General features: G+C 41.8%; 1 protein-coding gene and 3 non-coding genes across 4 annotated transcripts in view, besides 4 other annotated features; 2 read left to right on the top strand and 2 right to left on the bottom strand.

Moving 5' to 3' along the window:
- The window catches only part of GPD2 (glycerol-3-phosphate dehydrogenase 2), a 186,123-nt gene extending 175,717 nt beyond the window's left edge, over positions 1–10,406 (bottom strand). The window contains exon 1 of the mRNA XM_047443963.1: positions 10,118–10,406. The gene's annotated coding sequence lies outside the window, so the exon portion shown is untranslated. The remainder of the gene's footprint in view (positions 1–10,117) is intronic.
- LOC124906173 (small nucleolar RNA U13) lies at positions 441–543 on the top strand. Its single transcript, XR_007088760.1, has one exon. It is a non-coding gene; the product is annotated as a small nucleolar RNA U13 (small nucleolar RNA).
- Positions 9,351–9,400: a silencer, noted in NCBI's record as "silent region_12020". NCBI's record gives its function as "represses an Ori minimal core promoter by ATAC-STARR-seq in GM12878 lymphoblastoid cells {active_cell/tissue: GM12878}" and the evidence as "EXISTENCE:reporter gene assay evidence [ECO:0000049][PMID:35858748]".
- Positions 9,441–9,550: a silencer, noted in NCBI's record as "silent region_12019". NCBI's record gives its function as "represses an Ori minimal core promoter by ATAC-STARR-seq in GM12878 lymphoblastoid cells {active_cell/tissue: GM12878}" and the evidence as "EXISTENCE:reporter gene assay evidence [ECO:0000049][PMID:35858748]".
- On the top strand, positions 9,470–9,540 carry TRG-GCC2-2 (tRNA-Gly (anticodon GCC) 2-2). The gene has a single exon. It is a non-coding gene; the product is annotated as a tRNA-Gly (tRNA).
- Positions 9,847–9,918, bottom strand: TRA-CGC3-1 (tRNA-Ala (anticodon CGC) 3-1). The gene has a single exon. It is a non-coding gene; the product is annotated as a tRNA-Ala (tRNA).
- Positions 10,071–10,240: an enhancer, noted in NCBI's record as "active region_16663". NCBI's record gives its function as "activates an Ori minimal core promoter by ATAC-STARR-seq in GM12878 lymphoblastoid cells {active_cell/tissue: GM12878}" and the evidence as "EXISTENCE:reporter gene assay evidence [ECO:0000049][PMID:35858748]".
- Positions 10,671–10,740: an enhancer, noted in NCBI's record as "active region_16662". NCBI's record gives its function as "activates an Ori minimal core promoter by ATAC-STARR-seq in GM12878 lymphoblastoid cells {active_cell/tissue: GM12878}" and the evidence as "EXISTENCE:reporter gene assay evidence [ECO:0000049][PMID:35858748]".

Here is a 20,052-nt window from a genome sequence, read left to right as displayed (position 1 = left end):
AAATGTGTTAATGGTTCAACCAAAGTTAAACCTGGAAGCTCCTATCAGGGTATCTTATTTAGGTGAGACGGGAGGGTTGCTTGAGTCTAGGAGTTCAAGATCAACCTAGGCAACACAGCAAGACCCCATCTCTAGAAAAAATATGGTAATCTTTTTTAAATAGAGCAAATTAGAAAATTCACAAAGCTAAGATGACTAGTAAATATATTATGTGCCAAAACACATATATAGATTTTGCAATGATATTTATAGGATTGAATGTGAAAATAAAAGTATGTTATTGCCTCTCTGAGGTTTTGTGTCCTCCTTGCTTTGTGTTATGCCTGTGTCTGCAACTTTTCACAATCATTAATTACATTTAATGCTTCTAGCTCCTAAAATAGTCATGAAAATAGAACTACAAACCTTTAGACTAGGAATTATTCTAGAAACTCATTCAGATCCTTCTGTAGTTTATAAGCATGATGACTGAGTATTCACCCGCATGTGTGAGACGTGCTGCCCTTAAACTTTGTTATGGTGTCACACACTGCTAGCCTGAAATGGAAGAAAAATAAATAAATAAAAGCAAAAAGCTAATTTTTAAAAAGTGGCTGTCAATTACTTTTATCATCTATAAGCCTTCCTTTTTTCTTCTTTTTGAGATGGGATATTGCTCTGTTGCCTAGGCTGGGGTGCAGTGCCACAATCATAGCACACTGTAGCCTCAAATTCCTGGGTTCAAGGGATCCTCTGCCTCAACACACCTGGCTAATTTTTTTATTAGCTGGTGTCTCACTGTGTTGACCCAGGCTGGTGTCAAACTCCTGGCCTCAAGGGATCCTCCTGCCTCAACCTCCCAAAATGTTGGGATTAAAGGCATGAACCACCATACCTGGTCCAGGATGTTAACTTTGGAGAATAGTTTATTTATGGAATATAGGTCCTCTCTCCTAACTATGCTGAATTGTTCCTTGACTTTCTAGGTTTTTTTGTTTTTGTTTTTTAAAGATGGAATCTCCCTCTGTCATTCAGTTTGGAGTACAGTGGTGAAATCATAGCTCACAGCAACCTCAAACTCCCAGGCTCAAGTGATCCTCCCACCTCAGCCTCCTGAGTAGCTAGGACTACAGGCATGCACCACCATGCCTGGCTAATTTTTTTTTATTTTTTGTGGAGTTGGGGGGTCTGCCTATGTTGGCCAGGCTGGTCTTGAACACCTGGCCCTGAAAGATCCTCCCACCTCAGCTTCCCAAAGAACTGGGATTATGATGTCAGCCACCACACTCAGCAGACTTTCTACTATTATTGTTGTGTTTAGCTTTGTGTTGCTTAAATTGTCAAGAACTAATATTAAGAATGAAGTTAATGGTATTAATGCACAAATATACTGGTCTCTGCCAAGTCAAAAATGTAAGACTATAGTATCCTAACTGCTGAGTTACTTCTTGATAACCTAATGCATTAGTTTGCTAGAGCTGCCAATAACAAGTATCACCAATTGTGTGGCTTAGAAATTTATTGTCTCAGTTTTGGACGCCACAGATCCAAGATCAAGGTGTTGGCAGAAATGATTTTTCTGTGGGCAGAGAGGGAAAATCTGCTGCATATCTCTTTCCGGCTTCTGGTGGTTTTTTCTTAGTTTATAGAAGCATCACCTGAACCACGGCCTTCATCTTCAGATGGTATGCGTGTCTCTCTGTCCAACCTTTCCCTTTCATAAGGACACCAGTCCTATTGGATTAGGGTCCACCATAATGACCTCATCTTTACTTGATCACCTGCAAAGACCTTGTTTCCAAATAAGGTCATATTTCGAGGGGTTAGGACTTCAACATGCAAATTTTTTACTTCAACATGCACATTTTTGGGCAACAAAATTTAACTCATAACACAATAGCCTACCTGGCCTCACCCAAACTTCACCCAGCAGCCAAGATCCTTCAGGAGCTGGCTGCATTTGCCTTTCTTGTCTTTTTTTTTTTTTTTTTTTTTTACCAGGTGCAGTGGGGCAATCACAGCTCACTGCAGCCTCAACTTTCCAGGCTCAAGAGATTCTCCCACCTCAGCCTCCCCTGTAGCTGGGACTACAGAGGTGCACACCACCATGCCTGGCTAGTTTTTTTACTTTTTGTAGAGATCATGGGCAGGGGGTGGTCTCCCTATGTTGCCCAGACTGGTCTCAAACTCCTGGGCTCAAGCCATGCATCCAGGTCGGTCTCCCAAAATGCTGGGATCACAGGCCAGAGCCACTGCACCCAGCCTGCAGTCAGCATTTCTAACCAGTTCCCAGGCGATGCTTTCAAGACCTCTTTTAGCACTACATGTTTTCAGCTTAATCAAACTTTTTTATTTTCTCCTAAACTGCAAACTTTCCATATTTCAAAACAATATAAAAAGTTCTCAGACTATTAATGCGGAGAAGAATCTTGGTAATTTAGAACACTACTTTTGGCCAGGCTCAGTGTCTAACGCCTATAATCCTAGCAGTTTGGGAGGCCAAGGTGGGCAGATTACTGGAGCCCAGGAGTTCAAGACCCGCCTGGGCAACATAGCAAAACCCCATGTCTACAAAAAATACAAAAATTAGCCAGTGTGGTGGCGCATGCCTGTAGTCTCAGCTCCTCGGGAGGCTGAGGTGGGAGGATCATCTGAGCCTGGGGACCTCAAGGCAACAGTGAGCCGTGATTGCACCACTATACTCTAGCCTGGGTGACAGAGCAAGACCCTGTCTCAAAAAAAAAAAAAAAAAAAAAAAAAAAATTACAGCATGGAGACAGCAGAGGATTAAATAAGTGCAAGGATTCACTAACATTTGGGAGCAAAAGAGTAATATAATAAATGCAATGATTAAGAAAAATAGACATTTTTGGAGAGTAATTTTGCAATATTTAAAATGTACTCACCCTTGGATTTAGCAATTTTTCTCCCAGGAATTTATCCTGCAGGTGTTCTCATACATGAACAAAATGGCATTCATTCAAGGCATTCACTGTAGCATTGTTCCTACTAGCAAAAGATTAGAAACAGTCTAAATGTCCTCTGCCAAAGAACTGGCTCAGGTAATTATGGTACCTCACTGTCTTCATGCATCTTACAATTACAGCTAGGTTCTTTATTTCCATGCTTTGATTCTAATCCTTAGGAAACTTGGCCTTGGGGTACTGCTTATTATTGTGAGATAGAAAAAATAATGTTTTAATTCCTAGTCCATAAAAGACAGTTTAAAAAATGAACATAGAGCCACTAAAAAGATAAAGTTAGCTCTATGTGTTCTAAGAAGGATAATTTTCCAAGATATATATTTCTGGGGGGAGAAAAGGATATGAGCATAACAGTATGTATAGTATGTACCATTTGTGCTTAAAAATAAATTGCATGTCTCTCAAAAAAGAGATTAAAAAAATTTTTTTAATAAAAGTTGCAATGTTTATATCCACATAGAAATATTTGTGAAGGGAAATACAGGACACTGATAACAATGGTTTCCTCTAGGAAAGGAAACCTGGGATCTGTTGCTGAGGCTGGAGTGCAGTGGTGCGATCTCAGCTCACTGCAACCTCCACCTCCTGGGTTCAAGAGATTCTCCTGCCTCAGCCTTCCGAGTAGCTGGGATTACAGGCATGAGCCACCATGCCTGGCTAATTTTTGTATTTTTTAGTAGAGACGGGGTTTCACCATGTTAGCAAGGCTGGTCTCAAACTCGTGACCTCAGGTGATCTGCCCGTCTTGGCCTCCCAAAGTGCTGGGATTACAGGCTGAGCCACTGTGCCAGGCTAGGCATACTTTTCAATGAATACTCTCTCATACCTTTTGAATTTTGCACCATACATGTGGGTTTCTTATGAAAAAAACATATATTTTAAAAGACCCAAATAACTTGGGAAGAAGAAGAAGAAAGAGCTTTAGGAAGGGAAGTGAAAGCTATTTCTGCCAAGCGGCACAGCTCTGAAGTAGTTGAATAAATGCTTCACCCAGAGATGAGAGTCAAGAGAAAGGTAAAGAATTCCCACTCACATTTCCTCCACCATGAGGACTCTGTATGGATTTAAAATTAATTCAATTTTGGAATAAAGAAATGACTGAATTTTCCAAAATTAAGGAAGGAAGAAAGAAAAGGAGGGAGAGAGAGAAGTAGGGGAGGGAAAGGAAAAAATGCAATTGGTAGCAGCATGCAGGATGGCAGAGGAAATCTGAGGTTTCCTGGGTAGCCCAGGGAGTGAGCTGATAATTGTCTGCACTGTGTAGGAGAGATTGGCATGAGGAGGGAGAATAAGAGTCAGTGCCATTTTAAAAGGAGAAATCAGGCTTGTTGACTAATTGGATATGCTTGAGAACTAGGAATGAGCATATCGTGAGCAGGATGATTTTGCAGTGACAGCTTTCCAGGAAAAATTGCTGCATTCTCAACATCTGCATGCATCTGAGAATTACACCTGGATTCTTCACTTCCATGCCTTGATTTTAATCCTTAGGAAAGTAGGCCTTAGGGTACTACTTGTGATTCTAAAATGGAATAAGTAATGATTTAATTCCCAGCCAGTAAAGGGCAATCCAAATGACTGGCTCCACCGTTTCCCTAGGGCTAGTTTGTAACCTGGGACAGAAATAAGCTGTGTGTATTAAATCAATACGATCACTCACAGGTGAAAAAAAAAAAAAAGGCATTGCTTTGGTGACTTTGTATTATATGAACTATTTCTGTTTCTGAACTGTTTACTTTCTTCAGATGATATAAGCCTGGCCACTTTTCTATGATGAGCTAACACCAGCTAGGAACTTGGTACCTTGAGCAAGTGCTCCAAGGTGCTATGATGCAACTTACAACCCCTGCCTGTCGCACTGGGTGTCACAATGGCCAGGCTTGCCTAAAAGAGAAGATTGTGTAACACTTCACAGTGCTCAAGTGCTTTCCTTCTCTCTACCAGCTTCAATGGGAGCTTCTTATCTGAGCATGGGAACAGAGCAGACCAGGGGAAGTGTTAGTGTGCACCACCCAGAAGGCACTGTTGGTCATCCTCTGATCTCTTCAAGCTTGATCACGTGGATAATGAAATCACTGCCTACTACAGCATTCCCGATGTGAAACAGGATTACTACACAGTATATCTATGAAACACTGTGACATATGTGTTTGTCATGTTTTATTATTCAGAATTAGCAAAAGAAGTGGGGCTCTGCCTGCCTCCACAGATGCCACTGTCCTGTTTCTCCAACTTTGGCTCCTCAATTCTTGTCATTCCCTAAGGCTGCGTCCTCAGCACTCTTTTCTCTGTGTGATATTCTCCATTTCCACATTTTTGCATTTCACCCATCAGGTGATTGACTTCCAAATCCACTTCTGTAGCCTTGATTTCTCCTGGGGTTGATCTAACCACCTAGCAGGCACCTCTTCCTACTTACTTCAAAGTCAGAATTTCCAAAAATGAGCGCTTTACACCACCCCTTTCCTTCCAGTATTTTCTCTTCCTTACTTTTCTACACTACACCCCAAGTCTATCAAGCACGTAAGGTAGATTCCTAGAGTAATTTTTCTTCCTCCTTCTGTCTTGCCATGCACCTCATGCTAGAGCTGTGGCCTTGGTTCAGGACCTCGTCACCTCTCTACTCCTATTCTAACTACCTCTTGAATGGATTTCTCTATTTTTAGTTTCTCCTCTTTCTACTTCTCTGTCACACTGTTGCCTGAATATTCCTTCAAATGCTCCGAACCTTCTTTGCAACAGAGTTTACCTTATTCCAACAAGCTGGGAATGTGTCCTAAAAATTTTCTCATGGTTTTTGTTGTCTCCTTGTAGTGTTATCATCATCGACGAATTTCTCTAAATGTAAATGTTTCTTTTTTTTTTTTTTGGAGACGGAGTCTCACTCTGTTCCCTAGGCTGGAGTGCAATGGCACAATCTTGGCTCATCGCAATCTCTGCCTCCTGGGTTCAAGGGATTCTCCTGCCTCAGCCTCCTGAATAGTGGGATTACAGCCGCACCACCATGCCCAGCTTTTTTTTTTTTTTTTTTTTTTTTGGTATTTTTAATAGAGACGGGGTTTCACACATTGGCCAGGCTGGTCTTGAACTTCTGACCCCAGGTGATCCACTCACCTCGGCCTCCCAAAGTGCTGGGATTATAGGGGTGAGGCACCACACTTGGCCTAAACTTTTCTTAAACTTTAATATTATTAGTCTATATCACATCCTGGGTAATGAGTTATCTAAGTTTACCATGTTTGGGGTAAAACTGTTTCTCAATTTGTGTTAAGATTCTAGCAAAATACTGCTCAAACTAAGTTTAAAGGCTAATTTTGTTGTTGTTGTATGTTTTTTAGAGACATGGTCTTGCTCTGTTGCAAAGGCTGGAGTGCAGTGGCACAGTATAGCTCACTGCAGCCAGCCTCAAACTCCCAGGCTCAAGCAACCCTCCAACCTTAGTCTCCCAAGTAGCTGGAACTACAGGTGTGTACCACCACACCTGGGTAATTTTTTTTTAATTTTTAATTTTTATTTTTTGTAGAGACAAGGTCTCACTATGTTGCCCAGGCTGGTGTCAAACTCCTGGCCTCAGTTGATCCTTCTGTCTCGGCCTCTCAAAGTGCTAGGATTACTGGTGTGAGTTACTACACTTAGCCCACCACTTATTGTTTAAGGGCAATTTACTGACTCATATAAACACAAAATCCAGAATTTTTTCTAGTCGGGCATGGCTGCTTCTAGTGGCTCAATATCATATTAGGAATATGTTTGTCTCTTTCTTCTGGACAACCCAAACTATACACTCAACCTGTTTGAACAACCCAGCAAAAAGACAGTTTTTACTTAAAACTTCTGCAAGAGAGTTTCGGCAAGGACTTTTCATTGTCCCAGATTTAGTCACATACCCATCTCTAAGAAAGTGCAGTGCCAAGGGAAAATATTTGACGAGACCTGTTTTACACACCTGCTATTGTGACAGAGAAATACAGAAAAAGAGGCAAGTTAACCTAACACAAATCTCAAAGTATTGATTATCTATAGAACAGAAGGTTTCTTGTACCAGAAGGAGTTGGGTGGACTGCTGGATGCACATGCATGCAGGCGCACACACACACACACACACACACACCCTTTGAATGCTTTTGGCTACATGTAACAAAATCCTCAACTCAAACGTACTTAAACAATAGAGTTCTTTAATTTACCTAACCAAAAGTCTGCATAAAAAATGTCAGGATGGTGTAGAGCCTTTTTCTATTTTCCTGCTGGATCACCCTCTGTCTTCCTTCAAGTCATAGGATGGTTGGGGCAGCTCCAAGCATTACACCCTCATACAAGGAGAAAGGGTAAGAGAGATCTTCCGTATCATCTTTCCCAGAAACTCCTAGCTGACTATTCTTGCCCTCATTGGCAGGGATTCAGTGAAAAGCACACCTCAGATCAATTTGGAACGAAAAATGAGATAATTGGCTTAGGGCACCACATTTGTTCCTTGGGCTAGGTAAACTAGAATGGACTTTTAGCAAGAAAAAATAAATAAATAAAAAGGCCTTTAGGTAGGCCACTAGTAATGTTTTACATAAGACTTTTTTCCTTGTGTTCTGAGATTTTTTTTTTTTTTTTTTTTGAGACAGGGGCTCACTTTGTCGCCCAGGCTGGAGTGCAGTGGCACGATCTTGGCTCTCTGCAGCTTTGACCTCAGGCCTTCCACTTGAGCATCACCATTGGCTGGTGAGGCCTCATTTTTATTGCCCTGCTCCCTCAGTTCCACCAGCTCATTTTTAAACTCCCTATTTATTTGCCTTTGTTTGTTAGGTTACACGTTCAAAATAAAAACTTTGAGAAGCCCTGAACTAAATAATCTAAGATTCTTTAGATTTCTGAAGTTAGGATTCAAAATTAAAAACAATATTTAAGAATCTCAGGGGCCAGGCACAGTGGCTCACCCCTGTAATCCCAACACTTTGGGAGACAGAGCAGGGAGGATTGCTTGAGCTCAAGACTTTGAAGCCAGCCTGGCTAACATAGCGAGACACCTCTCTCTTCTCTCCAATAAATAAATAAAGAAACAAACAAATAAATAAATAAATAAAATTAGCCATGCATGGTGGTGCACACCTGTAGTCCCCACCATGAAAGTGAGGCCTTACCAGCCAATGGCCCTGAAGCACCTCTGGAAAGGTACATCACTTCAGAATGGGATTTTAAAACCCCATTTCTCCCCCATTTCTTTCATTTTAAAGAATAAACTAAAGTTAGAAGAAGTAAAATGAGTTGACCTTGTTCTTCCACAGGTTATTTAGGATTGTAGTCTGATTCCCTAATTCCCTAATCCCTTCATATCTTTTATGTCTTTATAATTCTGTATTTGTCTTCAGATTTTGCTCTTTACCCACACACTAAGAAGTCCTTAAAGATGAATCTTAATGGAGAAGTCATTACCTTATTTCAGTAGCCTTTTATGATCTTTCTCTAACACCATTCGATTATTCTTAATATATAATGTCCTAAACTACATGCAGCATTTGAGTTTCAATACACAGTGACCTATTCTGTTGTAGGCTGAACGGGCAGTGCTAAGCACTCCAACACTGAACATAATATTGTGTGTTCCAATCTTGCCTCTACGAGCCTCAGCTTCCTAACTCACGGGGTTGAAGTCCATGTGTAGTGTACTTAACATAGCCTGGTACACAGTTACTATGTGTTAGCTGTTATTTTCTCATAACTTTTCCCCAAATTATTCTTGACCAAAGAATCTGGAAATTATTAGGTATTTCCCTCCCAGAGATAAAAAGCCAATGTTGCCTATATCCACAGCCTTTTATCTCGTATTTAGAATCATTTCCATAAATCCATTTCCTTCACTTTATTTTTTTCCCCTCCTATATCTTTTGTTGTATCATTCACAATTTCACTTTCCTTGGAAACTAAGGGTGAAGGATCAGACTCATACTATTAGAGTTAAAAGGGGTCTTAAATGAAGGAAGGGGCAGCTTAGAGAATTCAGGTCACTTGGCTTGAATCATCAATATTTCAAGTTCCCTATGCAAATCACATAGTTCCAATTTACCAATTTCCAAATCATAAATTTGGGTCAGTGTTCAAATTTCTGTTCCCTGTTTCTTTGCCTCTGTTCCCAATTTCTAACAAATCTCCATTATGTATTTGTCTGAATAGGTAAAATAATAAAAGAAAAAAATGGCAGGGGGTTGGAGGGAGAGTTGTTATAAATTATCTAAGTGTCTGAAGATAGGCTAGGTGATTGTGTAATCCTGTGCATACATGACAAAATCTTCATTTGCCTCCTTCACCAAAGAGAGTTTCAGAAGAATCTCATAAAGTTCTAAAGTAGTATAATGAAAATTTTTGTAAATGTTAATGTTTTTCTAATTTTTTATAACTATGTGATTAAAAATTTAATTGCTTTCTCTGTTTTTGAATACACAAATACGTGATTGTTTAGAGAATTACCAGGGTGTAAGTGTCTTCTAGTAAGCAATAGAAAAGCACATTTGCTATAAGCATTGGTGGTTCAGTGGTAGAATTCTCGCCTGCCACGCGGGAGGCCCGGGTTCGATTCCCGGCCAATGCAAGTTTTGACTTCTAGTTTTTTTCTGTGGGTATCATACACAGGAGCCTCAAAGTTCAATAACAGGGCCTTTAAACACTGGACTCATGCAAATAAAGAAGTATTAATGAAAGCCAATTCCCTATTTCACTTTTACTTCGAGCAGTCAAGAAGGTGGTTTCCCTGAGCTTCGCTGATTTTTTTCAGCCCTCCTTTTATATTGTTTTTGGGCGGCCTAGATGTGAGCAAAATGTATGTACAAGTAATGGGGTAAGTGTTCTAAGATACAACAGGAAAGGAGAAAAAATAAAAAGCAAACGTCGGCTGATTTGGAGATGCCGGGGATTGAACCCGGGACCTCACACATGCGAAGCGCGCGCTCTACCACTGAGCTACATCCCCCAGCCGAAAGCATATTTCTGGTGTCCATACTCATTCAGTCTGCTAGCTCTAGTCAAATTACTGTATTAAGATCTTTATTTTTAAAAATTTATATTGGCGAGTGCTTCTGAAATATGTTTCTTCTTTTCCCATACCCACCCTAAGTTGTTTCCACTGTGCATTCAGACCTCGCGCAACGAGCTGGCAACGAAACGCTCACCTGGGACCAATGAAGCCTCACTCCAGAGCACTTCTGCTGGACGTCGGGAGCCTGGGATCCTGGAGGGATCCGGTGCCCTGCGCGGCCACAGCGGCGGGACTCCCGGGTGCCCAATGCCTGCCGGAGCTGGCACCTCCCCAGGCTTATTGCGCAGGCAGCGCAGATCCAGGAGGCCGTGGTGTGTCCGGCCTCTGGCTTTGCTGCCGGGTAGAACCCCGGTCCAAACCTCGAGCCCGGGCCCAGCGCTCGGGCCGCGCCGCGAGCGTCGCCTCGGGTGCTCATGGAGACTGGTTCATGGAGCAGAAAGGTGGAGACCTTCTCTTTGCACACGAAAATGTTATGGATTTACCTGAACACTCTTCACCCCCGAAAATAAATGCACATCTCAGGAAAACCACGTGTTCACACCAAATCCCCATACCTTGCTTATGTAAGGGTTACAGCCAGATAACCCCTTGCAGATAAAAATGATTTGCAGCTTGCTCTTCATTTTCATGAGGCTCAAACTGAAAGAAAGAATATGACACCACCACCCTCCCTGTAGCTTAGTCATATATAAACTATGATAAGATCGGGGCAGGGGACTTGCTCCAGGTAGATTTTTTTTTTCTCCTTTTGATATTCACACCCTGGGCCAGTCTTAACGGATTGGTAAGTGGTGATCGTAGTGTAAGTCATTGAACATCTCCTTTGATGCCTTCTGAACCCTCTCTAACCACTAATGGTACCCAAGCTCCAAATTAAAAGACCTACCCTGAGTCCTGTTCCCTCTGAAATTGCCTCTCCAGTTGGCTGAGTGCTAGGTAAATCGATGTGCTGACTTGCAGTATAGTCAGATGAGGTGTGTTTGACTTTTTCAGGTGTAGTTTAAGCTGATACCACCCCAGCCTGGTGAAAGCTGAGTGGTGGAAGCCTCAGACACTCCGATGGGAGCAGGGTAGAGATCTGGTGTCGAGGTAGCTGGGTCACCGTCACTTCCAGCTGACCTGTAAGGCTGGCCCCAACAGGTAGCACCGTGAGGGCCTAGAATTTCCACTCCTTCAGTTGCAGAGCACTCCCGATAAATGACCATTTGGTCAGCAAGCCGAGAGCCAGAGCAGAAAACAGAGATTTCAAAATCATTCTGAGCAAACCACAAGTTTCACAATCAACTTCTGAATTAAAAATAAATAAACCATTGTGTTTGCTTACAGTAATTTAAACAAATAATGGCTCATAATTGAATTTTGGTTTAAACTAGAACAGGACACAGGCTGATCTAATTCAAATATAATACGCAATGTCCAAGAGGACAGTCATTGAAGAGTTCTGCTCTACCAAGCCTGAACATTTCCAAATCACCCTCTGCATTCCACCCTCAGGCACTAGAACATGAGCATCTTCAATTGATTCTGAATCAGGAAATGGGGACACAGTCATTTCTCTACCCAATGCATATTTAAACTATACTATTCAGTTCATTATGAGGGAAATATGGCCTCTGGCGTCTTCAACTTTGTCATCTTTTTGGGGATCCTCTTCCTCATGTTATGGTTATTTCTCCATCACCTGAGGCCTTCCATTTTGGGGGCTTTTTTTCTCAGGCAATTCGGAAATTTCAGAGCCCAGAGAAGATCCCTTTTAAATGTCCACTCCCATTTCAAGAGTTCAGGCTATGTAGGTGCATCTGATAAAGCAAATGAGGCTGATCTCTAAAACCAACAGAGGACGTAAAGTTGATTTAGAGCTCTAAAGCCAACAGGGGATGTGAAATTGCTTTACTGGCATACCTTAATCAAAAAGGCTCTCACTTAGTGGGTTTTTTCAGCCACTATGGCTGATGGGAGAGGTGAAGCAGCAGGTGCACTTTTGGATTGGGGGCCTTTTCAGGAAAGCTTGTTGGATCCAGCTCTGCTCAAATATGTAAAGAGGATGACCAAATGATATGGTTTGGATCTGTGTCCTCACCCAAATCTCATGTCCAGTTGTAATCCCCAGTGTTGGAATGGGGTCTTGTGGGAGGTGATTGGGTCACAGGGTGCTTTCTCATGAATGGTTTAGTACCATCCTCTTGGTACTATCTTCTGCGATAGTGAATGAGTTCTTGTGAGATCTGTTTAAAAGTGTGTGGCACCTTCCCCCCCACTCTCTTGTTGCTGCTCTGACCATGTGAAGTGCCTGCTCCTGCTTTGCCTTTCATCATGAACGTTGGTTTCCTGAGGCCCATCCCCAGAAGCTGAGCAGATGCCAGCATCATACTTCCTGTACAGCCTGCATAACTGTGAGCCAATCAAACCTCTTTTCTTTAAAAATTACCGTCTCTGGCCAGGCGAGGTGGCTCATGCCTGTAATCCCAGCATTTTGGGAGGCTGAGGAGGGTGGATCACCTGAGATCAGGAGTTCGAGACCAGCCTGGCCAACATGGTGAAGCCCCATCTCTACTAAAAACACAAAAATTAGCAGTGTGTGTTGGTGCGTGCCCGTAATCCCAGCTACTCAGGAGGCTGAGGCAAGAGAATCACTTGAGCCCAGGAGGCGGAGGTTGCAGTGAGTGGGGATGGCGCCACTGCACTCCAGCCTGGGCGACAGAGCAAGACTCCATCTCAAAAAAATAAAAATAAAAATAAAACAACAACAACAAAAAATACCATCTGTCAGGTATTTCTTTATAGCAATGCAAGAATGGCCTAATACACCAAATGTCGAAAATTATGGAATATTTAAAATCCAGTTCTATCATCTATGCTCCCCACATCTCTCTTGGTTAGAGACAGTCCCCTATTCTCAGTCTGTGTCACACACATATCATTCACAAGGTGTGATGATTAATATTAGGTGTCAACTTGATTGGATTGAAGGATGCCTAGATAGCCGGTCAAGTATTGTTTCTGGGTGTGTCTGTGAGGGTGTTGCCAGAGGAGAATAACATTTGAGTCAGTGAACTGAGAGAGGGAGACCCACTCTCAATGTGGGTGGGCACCTTCCAATTGGTTGCCAGTGCAACTAGAACAAAGCAGATGGAAGAAGGTGGGATAAGCTGGCTTGCTGAGTCTTCCGGCTTTCATCTTTCTCCCATGCTGGATTGGACTTCAGACTCCAGGTTCTTCGGCCTTTGGACTCTTGGACTTATATCAGTGGTTTGCTGGTGGCTATCGGGTCTTCAGTCACAGACTGAAGGCTGCACTGTCGGCTTCCCTGCTTTTGAGGCTTTTGAACTTGGACTGAGCCACTGCTGGCTTCTTTCTTCCTCAGCTTGCACACAGCCTATTGTGGGACTTTGCTTTGTGATTGGTATGAGTCAATACTCCTTAATACACTCCTATATATATATCCTATTTGTTCTGTCCCTCTGGAAAACCCTGACTAATACACAAGGATTGACCTTAAACCCCCTTTTGAAGCAGGTGACATCTACCTCTGGCACTCTTTTCACATTTCTTGCTTCAGCTCCTGGCACTTTTTGTCCAGGAGGTGTTGAGCGTCCTTCCCTCAGAGCTGGGTACAAGTCAAAATGTTTTTTCCCAGTCCAGGTAGTGGTTTTTACTCTGACTGTACATTAGACTCACTGAGGAAGGCTTTGAAAAATGCCGATGCTTGCTTGAGCCTAAACCAAGACCAATTAGATCAGGATCTCTAGGGGTGAGTCCAGGCATCAGCATCTTTTTAAATATATATATACATATATATATATATGTATATATAATTGACAAATATTTAATGCATTCAGGTGTTCAACATGATGATTTGATATATGTGTTCGCCGTGTAATGATTACCACAATCAAGTTAACACATCCATCACCACCTATGCTATACATTAAGTCCCAGAACTTGTTCATCTTATAACTGAAAGTTTGTACCCTTTCAATTTCCCCATTTCCCCCATATCAATAGTTTTTAAACTCTCAGGTGATTCCAATGTGCAGCTAAGGATGAGAGCCGCTGCTTGAGAGCTGCTAGCATGTCCACATAAGAAACTTATTATTAAGCCAGTGCTTCTCAGCCTTGGCTGCATGTTGGAGGTACCTGGCAAGCTTTAAAAAAATACTGATACCTAGATCCCACCTGCAAATATACTTACTTAATTGGCAGCTGTTTTGAAAGGCTACCCAGGTGATTCTAATATGCAGACAAGGTACAAAACCACTGCATTTGAGCACATACTTCCTCAAATTCTTCATTGAATGCATGAGCACTTGAGGCTGCCATAATTCTGAAAGTGGAAGACTTCTGCCCAGAGCTCTTTGTACTCAGGAATTTGCATTGCTAGAAGGTGAAAGAAGCTTACTCACTCCAACTTCTCCTATTTTTTTTTTTCACATAAAATGAAATTGGTGGAGGCAGGTGTTCAAGTGCGAAAAACAAGTATTTCTCAACCTCATGCATTCTGTCCCCCCCCACCCCATAATCATATTACATGAATGAGTTCCTCAAGTAGGCTGTCCCTGATGATTCGCTGGCCATTAAAAAGGCTCAAGAAGAGGCCAGGCATGGTGGCTCATGCCTGTAATCCCAGCACTTTGAGAGGCCAAGGTGGGCTGATCACCTGAGGTCAGAAGTTCAAGACCAGCCTGGCCAATATAATGAAACCCCGTCTCTACTGAAAAACAAAACAAAACAAAAAAAACCCTGGTATGGTGCTGGGTGCTCGTAGTTCCAGCTACTTGGGAGGCTGAGGCAGGAGAATCACTTGAACCCAGGAAGCAGAGGTTGCAGTGAGCCAAGATCGTACCACTGCACTCCAGCCTGGGTGACAGAGTGAGACTCTATCTCAAAAATAAAAAAATAAAAAAAAAAGGTGGGGGGCAGGGCTCAAGAAGAAACAAGGAGATGGGTGGGGAGGAGAGTCATCTACACCTGGTCTCAGGGAATTCCAGTACTTGTGGCTTGCTGGATGAAAAAGGACTGGATTGCTTTACTCATTATCTATAGGAGCAAGTAGCTTTTTGAAATACATTATTTTGCTCCTCAGGGCCATAACTATTAATAATTCTTCATAATCACAGCTAATAATCATTAATACGAACCCGAGGGCCAAAAAGCTACTGGTTACATTTAATTCAGAGAAAGTTAATAAACATTACTCTTTTCGGAAAGTACCCCAACGTGAAAAATTATAGTGATCATAATTTGCATTTAGAAGTATTTATTGAGTAGTAAGTTAGAGTCTACTTGGAAAGATGCAAATTCTATAATTTAGATGCTGTTTACAAATAGATGGAAACAGAAGGAGGTACATATTTGCTATAGTTTGAGTATGTCCCCCAAAAGTTCTTATGTTGGGAACTTAGTTGCCATTGTAACAGGATTAAGAGGCAAAGCCCCATCTCTACGAAAAATACAAAAATTACACAGAAGTGATGGCATGCACCTGTAGTCCCAGATGCTTGGGAGGCTGAGGTAGGAGGATTCACTAAACCTGGGAGGTTAAGGCTGCAGTGAGCCAAGATCACACCACTGCACTTCAACCTCAGTGAAGAATGAGACCTAGTCTCAAAAAAAAAAAAAAAAAAAAAAAAAAAGAAGTGTTTTAAAACTGGAAAGAGAAAAAAATAGCTACCTTTATGAGGTACGAAAGATTTTTCCAGATTTAGGTGATCTGCTCAACTATAGGAGTTTATGGAGTCTAATGGTACTAGCCTATTCACAAAAGCCAAGAATAGGATATGTATTTTCTTATGGTGATCGCTGACTGAGGTCTCGTTTTATCAACTAGCTATACTCCGCTGAGATTAGCTATTGTATTTTATTCTGTGAATTCCTCATAGCACTAAGTATTCACTGGGTTCTCAATAATCATGCTGGCTCACAATTCCATGTGGGAGATTGGTTAAAAGGGTATTTAAGGGTAAATGGGCAAAAGGAATTCTACTGTGGTAATGATGATATTCTAAAACTGGATTATGGTGATGTTTGTACAATTCAGTAAACTTAGTATCACTTAATTGTACAGTTAAAATGGGTACATTACCCCGTCTCTACTAAAAATACAAAAATTAGCATGGTGGCGCACGCCTGTAATTCCAGCTACTCAAGAGGCTGAGGCCGGAGAATCGCCTGAACCCGGGAGGCGGAGCTTGTAGTGAGCCGAGATGGCGCCATTGCACTCCAGTCTAGGCGACAGAGCGAGACTCGATCTCAAAAAAAAAAAAAAAAAAAAAAAGCGGGGGGTCGGCGGGACATTTTATAATATGTAAATTATAACAAGTAAAAAAGGGGGGATACGGAATGGAATGTGTTAACAATGGGATGGGATTCATGTGACTGAGAGGTTACTTATCCAGATTGTGTAACTCAGGGGTCTCTGATCCCCAGGCCGCAGGAACCCGGCTGCACAACAGCAGGTGAGCGGCGGGCAAGCCAGCATTACTGCCTGAGCCCCGCCCCCTGTCAAATTAGCGGTAGCATTAGATTCTCTAATAGGTTCTCTAATAGATACCTTAATTGTCAACCGCCCACGCTAAGGATCTAGGATCTAGGTTGCCGGCTCCTTATAAGAATCTAATGCCTGATAATCTGAGGTGGAACAGTTTCATCCCGAAACCATACCAGCCCCTGCCCCTGCCCGCGTCCCCACCCCCTCGCGCCCCCACCCCCTTCCCGCCCCCGCCGGTGGAAACATTGTCTTATACGAAACCAATCCCTGGGGCTGAAAAGTTTGGGACCACTGGTGTAACTGATGTGAAAAGGAAAAAGGATGAAAGACAATGGTTTCTTGTGAATGTATACGGAAAGGAGAAAGCTGTTATAGAGGTGGGGGAACAACTACTAAGTAAAAGCCCGTAACTGTTAACAGGGAGTGCTGTGTGTAGGGTGATGAACCAAGCAGAGGCGAACACAAAGATAAACTGCAGTACAACATGACGAACTCTATAGTGTGGAGCTTTGCATAGAGTATTAAAGGAAGAAACAAACACTCGAAAACATTGTGACTTGCCCAAGTTCACACAGGTAGAGACGTTCAAAGCAGAAATCAAACCAAGGTTATCTCACCCTTAAATTTGTACCCCAGGGCTGTATCATTAGCGTTAAGTCTGAAGAAATGCTAAGGCTGTGTTAAAGACTGCTACTTGTCTCCAATATCTGTTCTACCTTTTATTGTAGTAACACATTTGCTCCAAAGAATTTTTTAAAAAAAGACATTTTTGTTTGTTTTTGTTTTGAGACGGAGTCTCGCTTTGTCACCCAGGCTGGAGTACAGTGGTGTGATCTCCGCTCATTGCAACCTCCACCTTCCGGGCTCAAGTGATTTTCCCACCTCAGCCACCCGAGTAGCTGGAACTGCAAGCATGGGCCACCAAGCCTGGCTAATTTTTTTTTTTTTTTTTTTTTTTGAGACACGATCTCGCTCTGTCACCCAGGCTGAAGTGCAGTGGCCCTATCTCGGCTCACTGAAACCTCTGCCTCCCAGGTTCAAGCGATTCTCCTGCCTCAGCCTCCCGAATAGCTGGGATTACAAGCATGCGCCACCACGCCCAGCTAATTTTTGTATTTTATCGGTAGAGACGGGGTTTCACCATGTTGTCCTGGCCGGTCTCCAACTACTGACCTGAAGTGATCCGCCTGCCTCAGCCTCCCAAAGTGCTGGGATTACAGGCGTTAGCCACCACGCTGGCCACATTTTTGTATTCTTTGTAGAGACGGGGTTTTGCCATGTTGCCCAGGCTGGTCTCGAACTTCTGGGCTCAAGTGATCCACCCGTCTTTGCCTCCCAACGTGCTGAGACTACAACCCAGGCGTGAACCATTGAGCCTAGCCCACATCTCCTTCCTTAGGGACACATCCCGGAAGTTGTGAGCCTTATTTCCCCTCAGATCCCATTAGCCAGAACGGAGTCAAGTGATTCAATCTAGCTGCAAAGTGAGGGATGAAACTTAAAAAGGAAGGCCACATCTGGGCAGGTGGTGGCAACTTGGGTGGTAGACAGCTGTGGAGCCACCATGCCAGCACTGAGCTGTCTGCATCTGGACTTTTATGAGAGAGAAAAAAACTTTCTTCATGTTTAAGTCACTTGATTTGGGATCTCAATTTCCCACAACAGAACCTAAATTCTAATTATTAAAAATAATAATTCTCTCTGGGACAAAAATAAGCATATAGATATATGTTGCCCTTGTGACCCAAACAGACATACTTTGATGAGAAGCAGTGTTGTCAGAGTTATCACACTAGTTGACGGCTCTCTCACTTTGAGTAACTCTCACCTTTAAAGGCTGAGAAAGAAGAGTGAACAGGTACAGCCAATGAGAAAAAAGAAAAAGCAGAAGAACAGTTTCAGGGATCCCAACGGGAAAAGTCTGGCATCTGAGAAGTCAGGTTAGATACCCAAGATTTAAAATTCCTATTAGACTGACTGACATGAAGCTCATCAGTTACCTTTAATAAGTTATTTTGCTACAAAATTGAATGTTAATTCTTCTAATGTATGCTGTGCAATTCAGTCATTCTCTTTGGCAAGGTTTCTTGTCTTTGTTTATCTTGTCTATTTCATGCTCTTTACCATTTCAAACCTACCTTAAGCTAGTTTTTTAAAGGAAATTTATTTGGAAATTTATGAGATCCAAGAAATCAAGAAATAACAAGAGACACAAATACTTTTAAATCAAAGAAAATTTGCAAATCAGAAAAGTTCCCTTTCTTCTTTTCTGGTCCTGAAAAATAAGACATTTATTCATTCACTCAGTGAACATCTATTGAAAACCTACTGTGTGCTAGGCATTATGCTTGGGACTGGGGATAAAAAAGTTACAAAGTTAGAGCTGTCCCTACCCTCATTATACTTAGGGTCAAGCAGGGAGGCAACCAAATATAAAGAAAGTATCAATGGTGTGACAAGGCCTAGCATGGTAGCTCATGCGTGTAGTCCCAACATTTTGGGAGGATGAATAGGAAGATTGCCTGAGGCCAGGAGTTAGAGACCAGCCTGGCCAACACAGTGAGATCCCACCTCTAAAAAAAAAAAGTGTTGATAAAGGATATGGTAGAAGGAGTTAAGAGTTTCATGTGAGCACACAGAAATTACACTTAATCCAGACCTAGGGGATCAGAGAAGGTTTCTGAGGAGAGTTTAAGTATGAGCAGCAGTTAGCCAATTGAGGATGAACAGGGATAAGAGGGATGAAGAGGAGCATTCTAAATAGAAGCAACAGAATATGCAATGACCCAGAATACAAGAAGATCATAATGGCTTTAAAAAGCAAAAATAAATTGTGTGTGTGCATGTGCTATGTTGTGGACTATGAAAAGGAAGAGATGAAGCTGGAAGGTAGACAAGGTTCAGTTTATGCAGATCCTTGTAAATATCATAAGAGCTCACAGAACTGTGAGAAACATGCTGAGTTCTATGGAGGAAAACAACATGAAATTTTATTTTTAGCAAAATCATTCTGGCTGTAGTATGTAAAATATATAAGGGGAGCCCTTATAAGGGTCTATGTTGTAGAACATCTAAGGGGGGGCCCCAAAAAGAAGCAAGGAGACCACTGGAAGCTTCCTCCTGGCATCCCATAAAGTTATGATGGATATGGGTAAGAGATGATGATGTCCAATATGGTGTCCACTAGCAACAAATATCTATTAAAACGTGACTAATTCAAATCAAAGATGTAAAATATCTCACTAATATTTTTTAGACATGTTAAAATGACTACATATGTTAAAAATATATTTTATGTTATATAAAATTATATATGTTAAAATATATACATATAGTTTATATATATTTAGATATATGTGTATATATAATATATATACGTTAAAATATACATGTATTTTATGATGTTAAAATGACTACAGTCATTTTATAGTCATTTTAACATGTATATGTTATTATATATACATGCATATATACATACAATAATTTATATATATATATATATGTATTTTTTTTTTTTTTGAGACAGAGTCTTGTTCTGTCACCCAGTCTGGAGTACAATGGCTTTGTCTTGGCTCACTGCA

This window comes from Homo sapiens, chromosome 2 (assembly GCF_000001405.40).
Source record: "Homo sapiens chromosome 2, GRCh38.p14 Primary Assembly".
In the NCBI taxonomy this organism is placed as follows: domain Eukaryota; kingdom Metazoa; phylum Chordata; class Mammalia; order Primates; family Hominidae; genus Homo; species Homo sapiens.
This window is presented reverse-complemented; position numbering and strand designations above follow the sequence as displayed.